Genomic DNA, 22,489 nt, shown 5'->3' on the forward strand with positions numbered 1-22,489 from the left:
ATTTTAAGCAAAATTAAATGTTGATCCTTAAAACATAATTTATTACAATTATAATACTTCATGAAGAAACTGCCAATCAGCTCATATGGAAGTTTTTATGTATTTTATATATTCCTTAGGCATAAAATCCATTTTTCCAATTTCATGTAAATGTGCTTTGATTTTTTCTGTATATCTAATTTAAAGGAAATAATTAACACATTAAATACCAACTTACATCTTCTGTGGAAAATGAGACTTTGCTTCTTGATAATTGTACCTATCTCAAAGTTTATTCTGAGGCTATCTGTTGAGCCCCATCTGAGAAAAAATAAATAGAAGCACAACACAAATGAGTATTTTAGGGTATTAATACTATTAATCTACATATTTCATAAGATACCATCAGATCTTATACTTCCTCATGTAAATTATCCAAAATGTGATTATTCTGAATCTCCTTTTGTTGCTTTTGTTAAAGACATTTAATTAACGTTAACTTTCATTACATTTACTTATTTTTTCTTTTTATAGTTATAAACAAGGTTCTTAAAATTAAGATATATCATACTCTTATGGTGATATTTTTATACTTTCATATGCAATTTTGAGCTGGGCACTCAATGCAGTTTTTGGTTGGTTTCTCAGTAAAATAAAATATTATAGTAACAATTATTTACTTCCCCTCCAGCAGTGTTTTAAGTGTTCTTCCATTAGTAAATTGGTGTAAGAGAAAAATTTCCACATAATAACAAAATAATTTTATTGTAAATTCAATTTATCACGGCTCAATGTCTATATAATAAGTTTGTTTTCTTAGTATAGGGTATATTTTGAAGCAATATTATTATAGCATTTATAAATGTTACCTGGACATAAGGCTCATTTTCCACATAGTGTATTATAATTTAAAGCAGTAAGTTTATTAATTTTTTAATCTGATCATCTTTAAAATGATATTAAAATACAACAGTTAAGACTGCACTTGTACCCCTTAAATTTATACAAATAAAATATAGGACAGTGGTTAGATAATTTGTGTTTTTTTCTTTCTTTCTTTTTTTTTTTTTTGAGATGAAGTCTTGCTCTGTCACCCAGGCTGGAGTGCAGTGATACAATCTTGGATTTTGGCTCGCTGCATCCTCTGCCTCTTGGGTTTAAGCGATTCTCCTGCCTCAGCCTCCCAAGTAGCTGGGATTACAGGCACCTGCCACCACACACGGCTAATCTTTTTTTTTTTGTATTTTTAGTAGAGATGGGGTTTCACGATGTTGGCCAGGCTGGCTTTGAACTCCTGACGTCAAGTGATCTACCTGCCTCGGCCTCCCAAAGTTCTAGAATTACCGGCGTAAGTGCCTGGCGGTGATTAGATAACTAATGGCTAAAGTTAAGTGAAGAAGATGTATATAAGCAATGAAAAATGAGCAACCTTCAAATATGGAATCTAATGATAGAAATAATGGTTATTTAAATAACTACAAGGGTAATAAAAGACATGATGGTTATTTTGGTTTTTTTATTTGCAAATGCCAGGATCTATAGGCTTCTGGATGATGTGATCCAGACAAGCATTTTCCTTTCTTATTTGATCCCTTAAATGTGACACTGATTACACAACGGATGTATTATATGACCTCCAAAATCATACATTTAGGGTTTTTTTCTCCTCCTGTGATACAACACTTTATTAATAGGGTTATGTAAGGAGAGTTCCTCTGATCTTTAAACAGCTAAAACATGTGAGTTAATTGAAGATTACTTTCAGAAATAGACCCAACTGGGATGTTCATTCTAAAATTTCTGAGGAAAGAGTGTAAGACAAGCTGCTGAGACTTAGTTGTTTCTCTGCTCCACAGAGTGCCAACATCCAGGAAATGGGGTAGTGATATGGTTTGGATATTTGTCCCTTCCTAATCTCATGTTGAAATGTGATCCCCAGTGTTGGAAGTGGGACTGGTGGGAGGTGTCTGGGTCATGGGGGGAAATCCCTCATGACTGGCTTGGTGCCCTCCTCACAGTGATGAGTGAGTTCTCACTCGCAGTTCATGTGAGGGGTGGTTGTGTAAAATAGCCCAGCATCACTTCCTCTCTTGAGCTTCCTCTCTAGCCATGTGACACACCTGTTCCCCCTTAGCCTTCCACTATAATTGGAAGCTTCCCAAGTCCTCACTAGAAGCTGAGCAGATGCTGTGCCCTGCTTGTACAGCCCACAAAGCCATGAGCCAAATAAACCTCTTTTCTTTATAAATTACCCAGTCTCAGGTATTCCTTTATAACAAGCAAAACGGACTAACATAGGTAGCAAATCAAGAATCATTCAACCATCATACATTTACCATCACAGTGATTCAGCAGCTGAACTTCAAACAGGGAAGACAGATACTAATAATCTGTAATAGTCCTCTATTCAAGGAGTTTTATGTAAGGCAAGTGGACACAGATATGCAAATAAGTGCATTTTCCCCCTGTGTTTTGCACATATCCACCCAGTGCAATTCCAGAAGTGAAAGTCATGGATGAGTCCTTTTTAACCTCTCATATTCTTCACCCAAACTCATATCCAATTCACTGATGCAAACTAAAATGATTTTTCGATTTCATTAAAAAAAACTCATCTACTAAAAAATACACTGATATTTCTTTGATCTTCTCATCACAATCATATCATTAATCATCACTAAGTACTTGATATTTCTCTTAATCCATTCACTTTTGCAACCATTCCTTAACTTGAGCTACTACCATCATCTCTAGTCAAATTTAAGGCCATGGCATCTGAACATGTCCTCATTTGTATGCCATTGCATCCTATCCCTGGCCAGGTGATCACTGATTCTCTACAATGCAACTGAATAATTAATATCTAATCGTATGTGCAAAATTACAAATCTTAAGTACACAGTGCAACAAATTTTTACCAAATAAACACATTCTATAGGTTTGTCAACCATGTTAAAATCCTCTATACTCACACTGATTGTTTTGTCCATTGCATCATTTGAGGTTTACTAAAATCCCCAAGTGTGCTACAGACTTATCTGTTTCTTCTTTTGTACTGTTAGATGTTACTTAATAGAGTTTTGAGGTGGTGTTATTATATGCATTAGAAATGAGGAAAATACAGGTCTTCTTGTTATACTGACTTTTGTCATTATGTAATGTCCCTCTGTCTTCAGTAATATTTGTAATCAAATTGCATTTTGTATGATATTAGCATAGTTTCGATTAATTAATTTTTAAGGTACATCTTATTTTATTCTATTATTTCAAACTTACCATGTCCTTTATTTATGATATGTCTCTGGGAAGCAGAATACAAGGCTTTCTTTGAGGTGTATGTGTCCTATTTTAATTGTATTTTTATCTATCTTGACATTATTGTATTTTAGTTGAGCATTTAGTCCAATAAGACTCAATACAATTACTAACATATTTGGCTTAAATTTAAAGTCTTAATAGTTTTCCATTTGTACCGTTTTTCTCCTTTTTCTTTTTTCTCCTTACTTGCCTATTATTGGGTTGAGAAAGTATATACTTTCTTCTGTTATTATTATTATATTTTCCCATCTGTTGGCTTTTTAGGTATGCATTGCTTTTAAACTCTTAGTGTTCAACCCAGAGCTTACATGTTATATTGTTATTTTTGTTTTAATGAGTCACTCTAACAAATTTAAAAGAGCAGAAATCATACAAAGTATGTTCTAAGACAACAAAATATGAAAATTAAATACAATAACATTAAGATAATTGGAAAATCCACCAAATATTTGGAAATTAAGCTAAAGACTTCTAAATAACACATAATCTAAGGAAATCTAAAGATATATTTAAAACACTACTATGAGCATAATAAAAATTAAAATAAAACATTAGAGTACATGGGAGGCAGCAAAAGCAGTGCTCAGAGAGAAATTTGAACATTTCTATTTAAAGATGATCTAAAATATAAAACCTTAGCTTCCACCTTAGAAAATTAGAGGAAAAAAGAACATATCAAGCCCAACTCAAGCAAAAAGACAAATCTTATTAAAGGTTTGCACACAAAATATTAAAAAAACTCTAAAAACTGAGCAATACAAAAACAATCCAATTAAAAATGGGCAAAAATTTTGTAAAGGCCCCTCACCCAAGAATACAGATGACGACTAAGCAGGACAAAAGATGTGCAACATTGTTTGTCATTCTGAAAATGCAAATTAAAAACAAGATACCACTCACACTTATGAGAATGTTTAAAATCCTTCAAATCTGATGTTGTTGAGAAATATGCAGAGCAACAGGAGCTCTCATTTATTATTAATAGGAATTCAAAGTGATGCACTAACTTTGGAAGACATTTTGGCAGTTTCTTACAAAGCTAAATATAATCTTATGCAATCAGGCCATTGCATTCCAGGTATCTACTCAAGTTATTTTAAAACTAATGCCCACAAAAATACTGGCATGTGAGTATTTATAGAAGCTTTATTCATAATAAAGCTGGAAGCAACTGAGATGCTCTTCAAGAGATGAATAAATAAACAAATTGTGGTGTTCCATAATAGAATATCATTCAGCATTGAAAAGAAATAAGCTATTAAGCCATGCAAAAACATGAGTTATATATGCTACATGAAACAAACCACTCTGAAAAGACTAGGTACTGTATTATTTCATTTATTTGAAATTCTGGAAAAGGTGAACAGATCAGTGACTCCTAGGGTTTATGGAAGAGGGTGTTTGAATAGGCGAGGCACGGAGAATTTTTTTTAACGTGGTGATCTATTCTGTATGATACTATAATGGTGAATGCATGTCATTGTGCATTTTTCAATTCCCATATAATTTACAGCACTAGAGCAAATCTTAATATATGTAAAATTAAAAAAAATAAGAGGTAATGGGATCCTAGAATGAAATGCAGAATGTGATAAAAGGATCTAACTGTATTACAAATATATGAAACAACCTCAATAAAAGAAATGTGGGAGAGTGTGCTGACCTAAGTGACTCTGCAAATAAATGAAGCCTGTAAGATTAAAGGTACAAGGAAATGTACTGAGGCATTGTATTGTACTGTAGCTGATAAACTTGTTTTCCGTGGGGTTAACAATTCTAAAACCACTACACATGTACAGCGGATTTGAATGATTATGTAATGGTTGGGTGTGGTGGGAGCCAGGTCTCTCACTTCTGGAGTGAGAGGCTACTGACTGGCAAGGGAGAAAAAGTCAGTGTGAACTCATCTCTACTTTGATATAAACACAGATTTACACATAACTAATATTCACAGATAAGTTTACACACACAGGCAGCATACGGCTACTTGTTGAAATGACTGATTCTAATACTGCATCAGGAAATACGTAAAATGAATCTGTAGTATTTTGAGGTTCCAGAAAGTAAGAAAGTACAGAACACACACACACACACACACACACACACACACACTTACTGTGCTACGCCAATGAGCATAGGGGCCAACTGAGCTTCCACATGGCCAAAGCTGAAACTATTTGAACAAAAATAAGTAACACAATTTCAGATTATTACCCATAGTATAAAATATATGTGTTGGGTTGAAACCCAATATATAAAATAAATGCCTGTGTGTGTGTGTGTGTGTGTGTATATATATATATATATGCATTTATATAATTAATTAGTTAATGAATGAAGAAGACCAGATGTATCTGTCAAGTAGAATTCAATGTATTTAGATACTCTGCCCTCAAAGTGGTGGACCCTAGGTCCCTCTTCATTAAGTATGGGCTGCACATAGTTATTTGATTAGAATGTATACAGCATGGAAAGGGGAACTTTATAGTGATTTTACAGTCAGAAACCTAAAAAACCCTCCCTTGGTAATCAAAGTCAATATGAACAGTGACAATTCATTTTGTTTGTTCCCTGACATGATGTAATTAGAATGACCCCTTACCTCTGTGATCATTCTCCCTAAGACCCACAGCCGCTGTCTGACTGTGTGAAACAGACAAATGCCAATGAAGGGATAGTCTAGAAAATATGTCACCTATACTCAAGACTGTTCAAAGTCATTAAAAACAAGGAAAACCTGAAAAACTAAGGAGCCTGAGGAGTACCCTAAAGAAACATGTTGACTAAGTTTAAGACAATATTTTACATGGAATCATGTATTAGAAAATAATATTGGGGGGCTGGGTGCAGTGGCTCACGCCTGTAATCTCAGCACTTTGGGAGGCCGAGGTGGGTGGATCACGAGGTTAGGAGATCAAGACCATCCTGGCTAACACGGTGAAACCTCGTCTCTACTAAAAATACAAAAATTAGCCGTGCGTGGTGGTGAGCGCCTGTAATACCAGCTACCCGGGAGGCTGAGGCTGAAGAATTGCTTCAGCAGGCGGAGCAATGCTGAACCCGGCATTCGGAGGCTTGAACCCGGCAGGTAGAGGTTGCAGTGAGATGAGATTTCACCACTGCACTCCAGCCTGGGTGACAGAGCAAGACAAAAAAAAAAAAAAAGGAAAATAATATTAGGGGAAAACTTAGAAAATCTGAATAAAACATGAGCTATAGTTAGTAGTAATGTATTAATATTCATTAATTTGTGACAAATTAATCATAACAATATATTATGCTAATAATAGGGTAAACTGTGTGTGGGCTGTATGGTACTTTCTATACTATATTAGAAACTTTTTGATAAATCAAACTATTCTAAAATAATGTTTATGAAAACAAAATAAATTTCAGTCAATAGAAATAAGCACCTTAAAATAGAGTAGATAATGTAATAGTGGCTTCATGTTGAGATGAGGAATGAGCCGTATGTTTCTTAGTGAAAATAATTTTACATGTTAAAGTATTTATATTATGGGAATGACTGATATGTGTTGTGTGTTTAGATAACTGAATTTATGATATACTCTGGAGTTTTCTTTTTCTTCTATTAATTTTTTGTATGTACACTATACCAATAAAATCAAGAGGTTCTTTTTTTAACATTTCCAAAGTAAAATAAAATGCTAAAGAATTGTCTTTCATATGTTGTCAATGGGCAATATGGCATTCTTCCTTTTGTTTTGCAGGAAAGGAATACATAAGAGAGAAGTGCCCACCAGTGTAAGACTCTGCTCTAATTTCAGTTCTGTATTTATTGTCTTGAAATAAGTTAATGCAAATACGCAAATAAAAACACAGCAATGAATTCAAAGGCATCACTAAAACCAATGATAAAAAAGAAATATAAATGATATTATAAGACATTAGATTAAATGGAATCATTAATAATATTTAATTAAAATTAGAGAAGGCAAAATAAAGATGGAGGTGGGGTGGGGTTAGGGGTGGGGAAGGGAAACAAAGTATAAATGCAATGAATAGGAAACAGTTATAAAGATATTAGATATTAATACAAAATGCTAATATCACTTTAAATGTGAATGGTCTAAATTGACCAATTAAAAGACAGAGAATGTCAGAGAGGATAAATAGGACCCAACTCTATGTTGTCTATTAAAATAAAGAAGTAAGGAAGTAGAGAATGTCTCAAAAAAGGAAAACACCCAAAAGACAAAATCCAAGGTGGCAAAGAAGAAAATGGCTGAAAAAAAATACCTTGGATTTAGCTATTAAGAATTCACGTGTGATCTCTGTATTAATCATGTTTGTAGACTCTTAAGAGGAGAAGTTGAGTTGTACTGGATTGAGGGGATTGAGGAGTATAAGACTACTAAGTGGAGTCAGTGAATACATTCTTCTTCGGAATTTTTTGAGGGAAAAATGAAAGATCAGACAGCAGTTTGAAGAGGAGTCCTGGTGAAAAAGTTTCTTCCATTTATTTTGACTCTTTCCTTCCTTCCTTCCTTCCTTCCTTCCTTTCTTCCTTCTTTCCTTCCTCCCTCCCTCCCTCCCTCCCCACTCTCCCTTTCTTTCTTTCTTTATTTGTTTTCCTTCTTTCTTTCTTTCCTTCTTTCTGTCTTTTTCTTTCTTTCTTTCTTTCTTTCTTTCCTTCTTTCCTTCTTTCTTTCCTTCTTTCTGTCTGTCTTTTTCTTTCTTTCTTTATTTCCTTCTTTCTTTCTTTCCTTCTTTATGTCTTCTTTCTTTCTTTCTTTCTTTCTTTCTTTCTTTCTTTCTTTCTTTCTTTCTTTCTGTTTTTCTTTCCTTCCTTCCTTCCTTCCTTCCTTCCTTCCTTCCTTCTTTCCTTCCTTCCTTCCTTCCTTTGTTCTTTCTTTCTTTTTTGAAATGGAGTCTCACTCTGTTGCCTGAGCTGGAGTGCAATGGTGCAATCTCATCTCACTGCAACCTCTGCCTCCCAGGCTTAGGTGATTCTCCTGCCTCAGCCTCCCAAGAAGATGGTATTACAGGTACCCGCCACCACACCCAGCTAATTTTTGTATTTTTAGTCTCGAACTCCTGACCTCAGGTGATCCAACCACCTCAACCTTCCAAAGTGCTGGGATTACAGGCGTGAGCCACTGCAACTGGCCTATTTTGAACTTTCTGGTGTGGGAAATGATGCATGAATGTGATGTATGTGGAAGAAATCAGTATTATGTAAGATTCAGAATTCAAGATGTACAATGACAGATGAAATAAGGTGATGGCACAAGGAAGGTTCTGAGAGTATGTAGATATATTTATGCAAATTATATAAGAAAACTGAGGGAATTCATTTCTTGACATGTCATTTTCTCAACAAATTATGAGATGTATACATGTTCTCACTCGTAAGTGAGAGCTAAGCTATGCATACACAAAAGCATATAGAGTGGTATAATGGACACTTGAGACTCGGAAGTGGAGAGGCTGGAAGGGGGTGAAGAGTGAAAAACTACCTATTGGATAGTAAATGTACACTATTTGGGTGGTGAGTGCACTAAAAGCCCACACTCCACTACTATATCATTCATCCATGTAACAAAATGTCATTGTACCCCTAAAATTATTGAAATTAATTTTGTAAGTACATGATGTCTCATTAGATTTCAAAAGAAGAAGAAGCTTGAAATGGAAGTTTGGGTCTGTTGTAATAAAACAGAATATATACTTTGAAGTGGCTGTCATGTCTCAGTGTTTATGGGAGCCTAAAAAAGTCAAACTCAGAAGTAGTAAGTAGCATGGTGACTACCAGAAGCTGGGGTGAAGGTGGTGGGCGGGGAAAGAGGAAATGTTGGTTAAAAGTTTCAAAGTTTCAGTTAGACAGGAGGAATCATCTCTTGCACAGCAGAGTAATTATAGGTAATGGCGTATAATTTCTAAATGCTAAAACAGTGGATTTTAAATGTTCTTGCCACAAATAAATAAGTATGTGAGGTGGTGGATATGTTAATTAGCCTTATTTGATCATTCCACAGTGTATACATGTATCAAAACATCACGTTGTATCCCATAAATAGATACAATTAGTATTTGTCAATTAAAAATGAAAAAAGAAGACAATGGTAATTGTGCTCAATGGTTTCATACTCTAGAGGGGAGTGGGATGTAAGACAGTATAGAAACCAACATTGTATAAGGCAGAATATTTAAAAATAATACATCATATTAAAACCAGCTAAGACTTTCGGAGTAAAAGATTATGACGGCTGTTTACAAAGACCACAGCAGGGAGTTCCAGGTAGTTTCTGTCTAAGTAAGCTTTAACCACTTAGAAACTGGGAGTGTGAAAAGGGTCTTTCTGCAGGCTGACTTTTTATTGGATACATTCTAGATCCTCGAGTTGTAAAGTCCAAGGGTTATTTCCTGAATTCTTGCTCTAAATTTGCAGCATTCATTTCTTAGTGTTTATTTTACATTCAGATGACAGCCACATTTGCCAGAATCAAGACACTTCTATGACTTTTATTCAATTACAGCATATAGATACATAATATGTTCTTTTATATTGCAAACAAACATATTTTTCCATCCTTGATGAATCTTTCGATCTACTTTTGTAGCCTTGCTGCTTTCTGATTGAAAAGTCAAATTTTAACATGTTTAAAATGTGTTTCTAGGATGTGTTAATCATATGATGGCATGGTGATTAATTGAGAGATGTCCATGTTGTAACAAGTTTTTCCAATCTTCAGTTGTTATTCTTTTAGTAATTAATGAGTCTATAAAGAGAGGACTTGCTAAAGGTAAAGCTTGGATCGTTAAGGTGACATTTTGTTAAGGTTAAAGCAAATTATATAATCCTCTGAAGGAGCGCTTCTGGTTTTCCCAGCTCTGGCCAGGACAGCCTATCTGTGCAGGAGGCATTGCTGGCACCCCGTGGGGACTGAGGACCAAGGAGGAGCTGCTCCCCCACACACGGTTCGTACTTCTGCTCTGTGAAGAGAGACAACTGTGCCCTGTCACCTTCACTGAACTATGAGGTGTGTCCTGATGCTGTGCATGACATCTTGGGTTTGCAGAACTGTTCACTCTCTCCCTGGATTTAAAATGAGTTCAAATTATAAGACCTTCATTTTATTGGTAATATATTAAAATTTGGGGGAAAGAACTAGTTTTAAAACTTTCTATTAAGCCTAAAGTAGTGGCAAATTTCATAATTAGATTGCACAATATTGGATAGCTTAAAAATTTCAAAATTGCCAATTTGTTACTTGTCTGTATTTGATGTATACTGTAAAATACAAAATGCACTTTATGTTTTCCATCGTGCAACAGTGAAACACTGGAGATTCATTCAATCATATAACGGGTATTTATTGAATGTCCATGATACGTCAGGCAACTTGGATTGCTAAGATAAATAAGATGTTTAAGTAGTGTCATTTAGTGTTACAGATATGATGACAGAAGTATGTGCTGTATATATTAATGCTTCTGAAGCAAAGTGTGGGCAGGCAGATTACTTTATAAAAAGAAATAAAAGTCATCTCAATTAGAAGGAAAGAAGTAAAACTAGCTCTATTTGCACTTGAAATTATCTTTCACATATAAGATCCTAAAGCAACCAGAAAGAAGCCATTAGAATGAAGAGCTGGTAAGTTTAGCAAGGGTTTGGTATACTCAGTCAATATACAAAAATCAATCTGCCTTTATGCACTAGCAATGAAACAATCCAAAATTTAAATGAAAACAATTCCATTTACAACAATAGCATCCAAAATGAAATGCTTAAGAACACATTTAGCAAAAGAAGTGCAAGACTTCTACACTGAAAACTAAAAAACATCGTTATGTGTGAAGGGGAGGGAAGAAAGGAGGCTAGAGGATAACTTAAGAATTAAGGGCATCTTATTTTGGGTTGATAATGTTGAGGATGCTTATGACTGAAAGGGAGTTATTCATTCTTCAGTGATTTCTTAATTTGAAATATGGAACCAATGTTTCTGCATAACATAAACATACAAATGAATTAAAGTGAAAATTCTAAGGTTCCCATTATTGCTATGCTTATGTTTATGAGAGAATTTTAAGATTTTATCAAGTTCCCAAAGTACTCGAAAAAGAAAAAAAAATCATGGTGGGTATTATATAGCTTAAACATTCCAGTTTGCCCAGTCTTGATAAAAATCACTTAAAAAAACAGAAAAAAATTGAATTTTTTTAGGTTTGATTTGGTTGTTGTCATTTCAAAATCAAGGTTCCCAATCAGCTTTCTGATTGCTATCTGATAAAGGTAATTAAAAATAGATACATACAGCACATTAGAGCATTACTGCTTATGAAAGGATTCCAAATAAAGTGTTCAAATACAGGGGTTATCTTAGTCTAGAGATGTTAATATTTTATAATATCAAGCTCCATGGTACATATAATTCACTTTATAAGCTATTAAAAAGATATAACACTTTATATGTTTTATAAATGATTTTCCCCAAGCCCAGATCACTTACAGTAATAAATACATAAATACACAAACATGTGTATATATATATATACACACACACACACATACACACACACGCACACATACATAGTAAAAAGCTTTCTGATTTTCCCTAGGATTAATACTTTCTGAAGAGCCAAATTTCTCAAAAGGCACAAGAATTTACCACTTCAAGCTCAAAAACCTAAAAATAAAATTAGCAAACAAATCACCATGCTTTATTTTGTGGTAAATTTTTCAAAAATGTATTTCATATCATTCAGACTTCTTAAACCAAAGAAAAGTTTAAAATATTTTGTCATTATAAACATTATTATGTTTTGATTTTAAACATTGAAAAATTTCAAATATTATTAGAATTAAGTGACAAAAAGTCCACATAGGACCAGACCAAGCTCTTGTAGCCCTTTTTAATAAAGCATATGATTTCGATTTTTCTTATTTTTTCATACTTTCTTATTTCTCAGTCTATTTCTAAGAGGTAAGCTGGCTGTAGGGGTGAGGGGCGAGTGTATGCACTGTATAGCTAGCAGGCATTGCAAAAACCTGGCATAATTTCTGGACAATGAGAGTGTCATGCCTTTGCGATGTGCAGCGTAAGTAGAGCGGATGCCTATGACGGCCCTTCCCATGGCCTGGGCATCAGAACTGCTTCAGAGTCCAAGGAGGGGTCCTAGGTCACCCGTTATTGTGTGTGGAGGATTGTCCTCAAAAACACTTTTTTCTCCCTTTTAAATAAAATTGATATCTTAGAATTGTTACTATATAGGGAGACACAACTATACCAAATAGTTGTCATCTGCTTTTTGACTATGTGAGCATTGAATAAGTATAAAAACATTTCAGAATAAAAGCAAATGTAAAACAGCCTGGGGAATACCTTAAATTTGGAATGAAAACCCGGCAGCTATTTGCAGGCGTATCAATATGGAAGATAACTTGAAATTAAATTGTTCTCAACAAATAACACAGAGCTTTAGGTGCAATTGACTCTTAAACGTATTTGAATGAACTTGGAGATCATATGCTATATCAAGGGGCAACTCTAAGATAATCAATAGAAGTTTTAAAAGATGGAGATTTTTGTTCAACAAAAGAAGAAAATTCTAATGATGAAAGTTTTCATTGTAATAGACCCCTCGGGAGCTGGGCACTGTTCTAATGGTCTTGCAGCATTAATTTGATCTCAATCCCCATGGGCAAGACCTCAGTACATGTCTATATCAAAGCGATAGCTAGAGGAAGAAGAAGGGGAAATAAGGTAGGGAGAGAATGGGCAGAGGAACAGGAGAAATACCTTCAGGAATGGTGAAACTGAGTCACAGAAAGGTTAAAGCAATCACATGGGTGGAAAGTCATAGGGTCAGGGTTTGAACCTAGGAAGGCTGAATCCAAAGCCCACAATCTCAACCTATAAGCTATGATGCCACCCAACTACGAGTTTATACTGAATATTCTAAAACAAACTCTCACGTTGTAAACCCAGGTATGGGAAATATTTACCAAAACTGGCCCAATTTTCAAAAATAAACAAGTTTTTTCTCCTGCAGCTTACAGTTCACAGGACGTGGCCTCCTTTATGCATAGCCCAGGAGGTGCACTGGGGTTAGGATCAGCATGCCCTGGGCAGTTCCATGTGATCACAGTGCTGCCTTGCTTTCTGGCAGCCTCCTTCTGGCTCTGCTTTGGGTTTGTAATCAGGAGGGGCTACATTAAACCATATAAAAATAAAGCCTACAGCTGTTATGCTCATGGGTGATGACTGGTAATGAGACCTAGAAAACCCTCTAGCAAGGCTGCCTTCCATATAGTGGGAAATAATTTTTTTATATAAAGCACTTAGCCTAAAGTGTCTCTGTGTGTGTGTGTTTCACATCCATTTGTTCATGCACCCATTATTTCTTTTGCTTTCCAAATAAGGACATTTGCATATGTGACCCCCTTTTTCTTGGAAGGCTCTTCTTCAACATTTCTCCTTTTCTTTAGTTTTCTTCTTAAGCGGCACCTAGAGTGAGAGGCCTTCCCTCTCTATCATTCTCTCACACTTTTTCTTGTTTGTTTCTTTATTGAGTTGATTTTTTTTTTTAGGCTTCTGTTTGCTTCTTTTCATCTCTCTCCCCATAAGAATGGAAGTTCCAGGAGGCTAGGGTCCACTCTGTCTTGTTTCCATTGTATGCCCAGCACCTGACTCACAGTCTGGTACACTGTACAGCAGGGGTCCCCAGCCCCCATGCAGTGGATGGGTGCCAGTCTGCAGCCTTGTTAAGAAAGGAGCTACACAGCAGGAGGTACTGCCTGAGCTCCACCTCCTGTCAGATCAGCGGGGGCATTAGATTCTCCTAGGAGTGCAAACGCTGCAGTGAACTGTGCATGTGAGGGATGTAGGCTGAGCACTCCTTATGAGAATCGAACTAATGCCTGATGATCTGAGGTGGAACAGTTTCATCCAGGAACCAACCCCCACCACATCGGTCAAAAAACTGTCTTCCATGCAACTAGTCCCTGGAGCCAAAAAGACTGGGGACTGCTGCTGCAGAGGATAAATACATGCTTGTAAATGGATTTAAAAAGTTTATTGGATACTGCTACACATCAATTGGCAAAGAAAGAAATTAAAAGGATGGTTCCTTCTCTGTGAAAACTTACAGTGTAATTCTAAGTCAATTTACAATGCCATATGACAGTGATGTGTGATATGTACCGGAAACAAAATGGACAATGTTTGACAAACATTATATTTATCTGGGGGAGTCAGAGAAAATAACCTGAGTGATGCCCCACTTCGGAGGATGCTTCTTTGAGTAATCTCTGAGGCATTTTCCATGGCCAAAATGTAAAGCACTGATAGAGAGAAATCATTTCTGCCTGTCTGGAAGACACAAGTGGCTTTGTCTTACTGCATGCCCATGCATCCATGGATCTATTAACAGCTTCTGAGGTGTAGCCAGAGACATAATAACACACAACCCAACAAACAAAAACACATGACAGGGGCTCTATGTATAAATTTATATTCACCAGATTTGCAGAAAGAAAAACTGAGAATTCTCTGCAATTAATATAAAGCCCAGGGCCAAAGACCTGACCATGTTAATGCACATAACTTTGGAAAATAGACGAGGTGTGATAGACTCTTCTAAGAGTTTTAGTAAGTCCCAAATAGGATAAGGCAACAATGAGTACCTCACTGCATACTTTTAGTAGGTTACAGCATGCAGATAGTGATACATTTAACTAAGTAACTATATATAGTTCATACTATGGGCTTAATCATTTTAGAAGAATCTTATTTTAAAATTTTCTGCAATTTGAGCAATGAAGTGCAGGTTGGGTGGTGCAGTTGGATGAGCTGCTCCCTACAAATGGGCTTGGAAAGGTCAGCACCTATCTGGTGGGAAATCATATTTTTCCTGACTATTTGAGACAGTCAGGGTGGGGGCCAGTTGGGCTGTAGAAGATTGTCTCCCTTCAATGTCTGTGAAAGAGCTTCTAAGGAGAGTGAGAAGCCTTTGGCATGCAGCAAAATCTTTACATTGGAGAGAACATAGAGTCATTGGAAATTAAAAGCCACTTCTAGAACACTAGGAACAAGCAAAATAGAACTGCTGAGTTGCAGATTTTTGTTTTTAAGTTGAGGATATCTGAAAATTTTTGAGGTAAGCTAAACACTCTCTGGCCTTCCGACTTCCATCTTCCCACGGCAGCCAATCAGACCTCAGAGTGCCCTGTGAGCTTCTGTAAGCTGCTAAGAAACCACCTAGGAGCTGACCACTTCCTCATCCAAATAAGCCTGCTTGCTCTTTTCATCTTCCTAGATACTTAGCCTATTTTGCTTATTAAACAAATAGAGAATATGATGATACCATGATTCTGATTCCACAAGCCACATGTAAAACCTACTAATCTCAAATTTATACTTGTTAACACTGTGCATGCCCCAGCATTGTGCTAAGGTGTATTTACAAATTCGCTGATCTGGAGGGAATTAAATACACTGAAGTAGGATCTAAGTGCTAATAATATAACTCAGGAGAAGATTTATACTGCACCAAAGAAACAACTGGAGCCCAATGCTGGGTAGGAACTATGTCACAGTCAAAGATGCAAAGAGCAGCTGAACATAAGGAGGGGCTCCGGCTTATAAGCTTCCCTCTCAGGGCTCTGTCCAGGCACTAACCATGAGCAAGATGTGGATCATCCTCCCCTGGGTTTCACACCAGTGTGTGCTGGCACCACCCTATTTTTCATTCTTTATTCTCTTTACTCCCTACATTTATTCCATGAAAAACGGAGACGATTTATTGTTCAATATGTTTTCCTGTGTGATCCTATTGTGAAACTTTTGCCATTGCATGTTTGTTGTGTTTTATGTGTGACATTTCATGCCTTCAAGTGCCCTATGACATAAACAGAAAGAATACATTCAATTTTTTATAAAAGAAATCAGGCTCAGATGGTTCCTCTGGGTTCTGCCCAGTCCACACAGCTTGTAAGTAACCAAGATGGGTGAGGACCCAGAGCTTCTCATGTCCGTTCCAGCCATCCACATGGACCTGCCTCCTACCCTCAACTTGAGTAATTATCTATTTTCTTTAAGACATAAATCAGTTTTCAAAGGGAATGCTTCCAGATTTTGCCCATTGAGTATGATATTGGCTGAGGGTTTGTCATAAATAGCTCTTATTATTTTGAGATACATCTCATCAATACCTAATTTATTGAGAGTTTTTAGCATGAAGGGCTGTTGAATTTTGTTGAAGGCCTTTTCTGCATCTGTTGAGATAATCATGTGGTTTTTGTCTTTGGTTCTATATGATGGATTACGTTTATTGATTTGCATATGTAGAACCAGTCTTGCATCCCAGGGATAAAGCCCACTTGATCATAGTGGATAAGCTTTTTGATGTGCTGCTGGATTTGGTTTGCCAGTATTTTACTGAGGATTTTTGCATTGATATTCATCAGGGATATTGGTCTAAAATTCTCTTTTTTTGTTGTGTCTCTGCCAGGCTTTGGTATCAGGATGATCCTGGCCTCATAAAATGAGTTAGGGAGGATTCCCTCTTTTTCTATTGATTGGAATAGTTTCAGAAGGAATGGTACCAGCTCCTCTTTGAACCTCTGGCAGAATTTGGCTGTGAATCCGTCTGGTCCTGGACTTTTTTTGGTTGGTAGGCTGTTAATGATTGCCTCAATTTCAGAGCCTGTTATTTGTCTATTCAGAGATTCAACTTCTTCCTGGTTTAGTCTTGGGAGGGTGTATGTGTCCAGGAATTTATCCATAGGATGCCCTCTCTCACCACTCCTATTCAACATAGTGTTGGAAGTTCTGGCCAGGGCAGTCAGGCAGGAGAAAGAAATAAAGGGTATTCAATTAGGAAAAGAGGAAGTCAAATTTCCCTGTTTGCAGATGACATGATTGTATATTTAGAAAGCCCCGTAGTCTCAGCCCAAAATCTCCTTAAGCTGATAGTCAACTTCAGCAAAGTCTCAGGATACAAGATCAATGTGCAAAAATCACAAGCATTCCTATACACCAATAATAGACAAACAGAGAGCCAAATCATGAGTGAACTCCCATTCACAATTGCTTCAAAGAGAATAAAATACCTAGGAATCCAACACACAAGGGATGTGAAGGACCTTTTCAAGGAGAATTACAAACCACTGCTCAATGAAATAAAAGAGGACACAAACAAATGGAAGAACATTCCATGCTCATGGATAGGAAGAAGCAATATCGTGAAAATGGTCATACTGCCCAAGGTAATTTATAGATTCAATACCATCCCCATCAAGCTACCAATGACTTTCTTCACAGAATTGGAAAAAAACTACTTTAAAGTTCATATGGAACCAAAAAACAGCCCACATTGCCAAGACAATCCTAAGCCAAAAGAACAAAGCTGGAGGCATCATGCTACCTGACTTCAAATTATACTACACGGCTACAGTAACAAAAACACCATGGTATTGGTACCAAAACAGAGATATAGACCAATGGAATAGAACAGAGCCTTCAGAAATAATACCACACATCTACAACCTTCTGATCTTTGACAAACCTGACAAAAACAAGAATTGGGGAAATGATGCCCTATTTAATAAATGGTGCTGGGAAAACTGGCTACCCATATGTAGAAAGCTGAAATTGGATTCCTTCCTTACACCTTATACAAAAATTAATTCAAGATGGATTAAAGGCTTAAATGTCAGACCTAAAACCATAAAAACTCTAGAAGAAAACCTAGGCAATACCATTCAGGACATAGACATGGGCGAGGACTTCATGTCTAAAACACCAGAAGCAATGACAACAAAAGCCAAAATTGAGAAATGGGATCGAATTAAACGAAAGAGCTTCTGCACAGCAAAAGAAACTAACATCAGAGTGAACAGGTAACCTATAGAATGGGAGTTAATTTTTGCAATCTACCCATCTGACAAAGGGCTAATATCCAGAATCTACAAAGAACTTAAATAAATTTACAAGAAAAAAATCAAACAACCCCATCACAAAGTGGGCAAAGGATATGAATAGACATTTCTCAAAAGAAGACGTTTATGTAGCCAACAGACACATGAAAAAATGCTCATCATCACTGGCCATCAGAGAAATGCAAATCAAAACAACAATGATATACCATCTCACACCAATCAGAATGGCGATCATTACAAAGTCAGGAAACAACAGGCATTGGAAAGGATGTGGAGAAATAGGTACACGTTTACACTGTTGGTGGGACTGTAAACTAGTTCAACCATTGTGGAAGACAATGTGGCGATTCCTCAGGGATCTAGAACTAGAAATACCATTTGACCCAGCCATCCCATTACTGGGTATATACCCAAAGGATTATAAGTCATACTGCTATAAAGACACATGCACACGTATGTTTATTGTGGCACTATTCACAATAGTAAAGACTTGGAACCAACCCAAATGTCCATCAGTGATAGACTGGATTGAGAAAATGTGGCATATATACACCATGGAATACTATGCAGCCATAAAAAATGATGATTTCATGTCCTTTGCAGAGACATGGATGAAGCTGGAAACCATCATTCTGAGCAAACTATCGCAAGGACAGAAAACCAAACACTGCATGTTCTCACTCATAGGTGGGAATTGAACAATGAGAACACTTGGACACAGGGTGGGGAGCACCACACACTGGGGCCTGTCGTGGGGTGGGGGGAGGGGCGAAGGATAGCATTAGGAGATATACCTAATGTAAATGACTAGTTAATGGGTGCAGCACACCAACATGGCACATGTATACATATGTAACAAACCTGCACGTTGTGCACATGTACCCTAGAACTTAAAGTATAATTAAAAAAATAAAAAAGACATAAATCAAATCCCAGCTCCTCTATGAAGACTTTTCTATGGCTTCTGGCTGTGGTTATAAACTCCAATTTGTATCTGTGCTCTAAGCCTTTCCTGCTAAGAGGTCTTGGACAGGTCACTTTTTTGATCTGAGATGCAGTTTGTCATCTGCTATATAGTGTAAATAAGCTGAATCAACACAATCTTAGTATTGAATAGACACCTTGTTATCATAGGCAGATAATCATAAAATGATGGTCATAACATCCATGTCCAAACATGCATTTCCAAAATAGTCATATTCAAGTTTCCAAGATCCAAGTCACAGAGATGGATTTTGTTTTATTTACTTTTTATTTTATTTCTTTTTTTTTTTTTTTTTTTTTGTGAGACGGAGTCTCGCTTTGTCACCCAGGCTGGAGTGCAGTGGCACGATCTCGGCTCACTGAAAGCTCTGCCTCCCGGGTTCACGCCATTCTCCTGCCTCAGCCTCCCGAGTCTGGGACTACAGGCGCCCGCCACCACGCCCGGCTAATTTTTTATATTTTTAGTAGAGACGGTGTTTCACCGTGTTAGTAAGGATGGTGTCGATCTCCGGGCCTCGTGATCCACCCACCTCGGCCTCCCAAAGTGCTGGGATTACAGGCATGAGCCACCACGCCTGGCCTATGGCCTATTTTTTTAAGTGTTAGAAAAAAAAGAAGCTGGAAATAATGTGAAAGTTGGTAGCACAGTTGACCCTTGAACTACACAGGTGTGAATGGCTGGGTCCACTTAAATGCGGCTGAAATGAACACACAGTATTAGTGGGATGTGAAATCTTGGATGTGGAGGGAAGAACTATCTCACCTGCTGGTTCGGCAGCGCCGACGGCGGAACTTGAATATGTACAGAGTTCGGTAACTGCGGGGATCCAAGAACCAATCCCCTGCAGATACTGAAGGATGACTGTAAGTAATTTGTACAAAGTTTTGAAAATGAGATTTATCCTTTTTTGTTTTCTGCCCATGGTCACAGACTTTGGTGGACCTCCACTGATAACAAAATAAACTGTTAATATTTTATGAATGCGTTTAAGATCTTTTGTTATTTGAACCCAAAAGCTATTTTTCTCATTTTCTCTCATTCTGTCTCCAATACACATAATAAATCTTTCACACGACAGTAATCACTTCTATCAAACACCCACACTTTCTCCCATTTCTGCCTTTTAATACTCTATTATCACCCTTGGAATATTTGTGTATAAGCCCATTGACATCTAATCATATATTTCAAAGTTTTGCCCAATTTTTAACCCTAGACCATTCTTTTAGCAAAATTAACTTCAGTCCTTCTGTGCTCTAATAGTGCCTGTCTTCCATCTTGATTAGATCTCCTCTCAATTTAAATAATGAGAGCGTGTTTAAACCAGCAAAATCAAAAATGGAGACTTCATTGTAAAAGTACTGGTGTCTTAGTCAATGCAGCCAGATGGTAGGTAAGGGCTAGAAGCAGGAAGCCACAGGAGTTAAGGCCTCCCGGTGTGCTTCCCCTGTCTCTCCTGCCTACTTTCTGTGTCTGTTTGCAGTGTCCACCATACCGTGGGCATGCAGCAGCTGGCCATGCTGGCACTCCTGTTGTCACATTCTAGTGATCCACTCAAACTTGAGTCTGGACTCTCTTAGTTATAACTTCAAATTCCCAGGGAGAGACCTTTCCTTTGCCAATGGGGTCAAATCTAGTCAGATATTATGTAAATTTCCTATGGACTGAGAGAGGGACAGTTATTGTTGGTAAGGACTGACAAGCTATCCAAAAATTTTCCGGTGGAAATCTCCAAAGGAAATATCATTGACTTTTCTTCATTCAAGAGAGCATCACATGCTATATTCTTTGCAACAGTGATATTCTTATATTTATAGTAAGATTCTTCTAGTTTCTGGAATGCCAGTGCTGAAAAGCAGAATGCTGAGAGAGATTAACTATAAAATAACTTTAAAAACTAGATCTTTTAGTGCTTTTCATTGCTGCCATTATAATTGTTATCTTTATCATTGTCATTATCACCATCCCTAATAGTCATGGATACTTTGCCTTGATCTGGTTTCAGACACACAGCCATTTGTGCCATACAAATAGGAAGAGTGCATTTAATAAATTTAGTTTAATAAATAAGTTTCTGTTAGCTTCAGTAACTAAATAAGAATGAGTAAAGATATATTTTTGATCTGTGTCCCGACCCAGAAGCCTCCCCGGAGGCAGAATAGCTATGCTTCCTGTACAGCCTGCAGAACCCTGAGCCAAGCAATCCTCTTTTCTGTATAAATTACTCAATCTCAGGTATTTCTTTATAGCAATGCAACAATGGCCTAATACAAGTAACTTTTAGAATATTAGAACATGTAGATGTTTTTAAAGGCATAAATGTGATGCTGAGGAAAATAGCTAATCTTTTTTAACTTTGAAGATTCCTTGAGAGAAATTGTTGATGCAAACTTTTTTTTGTATTATTAAGTTTTCTCTGAAATAAAGCATGATTGATATTCTCTCTTCTGAATTCTGAGCCTTTCTTTCTTTTTCTTTCTTTCTTCCTTTCTTCCTTACTTTCTTTATTTCTTTCTCTCTTTCTTTCTTTCTCTTGAGATGGAGCTTTGCTTCTGTCACCCAGGCTGGAGTGCAATGGTACGACTTTGGCTCACTACAACCTCTTCCTCCTGCGTTCAAGCGATTCTCCTGCCTCAGCCTCCGGAGTAGCTGGGATTACAGGCACCTGACACCACTCCCAGCTAATTTTTGTATTTTTAGTAGAGACGGGATTTCCCCATGTTGGCAAGACTGGTCTCGAACTCCTGACCTCAGGTCATCCACCTGCCTCAGCCTCCCAGAGTGCTGGGATTACAGGCGTGAGCCTCTTCTCCTGGTCTGGGCCATTATTACAAAGTGAGATAATTTGGGAGGGCAACCGTGTTCACATCAATGCTTTTCACACCAATGCTTGTTGCACATGGGAATACCTAATTCCTGTCTCAAGTGAATATTTATTTTATCAAACTGTTCCTAAATTATGAATCAGGTGCTTAAGCAGGGACTGAATTATTAACCAGCAGTAATTTCTTTAAGTCACATAGAAGCAAGGCTGAAAGCACTCTTCAAAAAATTATGCAAGCAATTACATTGTTGTCCTAGAGTACGTGGTGTATCTAGGTTCCACAGAAAGCAATGTGACACTTAGGGAAGACATTGTGACATATTTCACAGTGTGTTCGTAACTTTAAATTATAAATATAAAAATTTCTAATTCAAAATAAGAGTTGACCACAGAATTTATATTGGTGACAGAGCAAGAATCTTCCTTAAAAAGGGGCAGCTAAAATTGCTAAGAATCAATCTTGATATCAGCTTCATCA

General features: G+C 36.9%; 1 long non-coding RNA gene across 2 annotated transcripts in view; it reads left to right on the forward strand.

Annotated features, from left to right (window-relative positions):
* The window catches only part of LOC105375826 (uncharacterized), a 60,415-nt gene that overhangs the window by 14,464 nt on the left and 23,462 nt on the right, over nucleotides 1-22,489 (forward strand). The window contains exon 3 of one of the 2 annotated variants that reach the window (NR_188094.1): nucleotides 10,151-10,301. The exons of the other annotated variant lie outside the window; for it this stretch is intronic. This is a non-coding gene — a long non-coding RNA (uncharacterized LOC105375826). The remainder of the gene's footprint in view (nucleotides 1-10,150; nucleotides 10,302-22,489) is intronic. 2 annotated transcript variants of the gene reach the window in all.

Source organism: Homo sapiens, chromosome 8 (assembly GCF_000001405.40).
Source record: "Homo sapiens chromosome 8, GRCh38.p14 Primary Assembly".
In the NCBI taxonomy this organism is placed as follows: domain Eukaryota; kingdom Metazoa; phylum Chordata; class Mammalia; order Primates; family Hominidae; genus Homo; species Homo sapiens.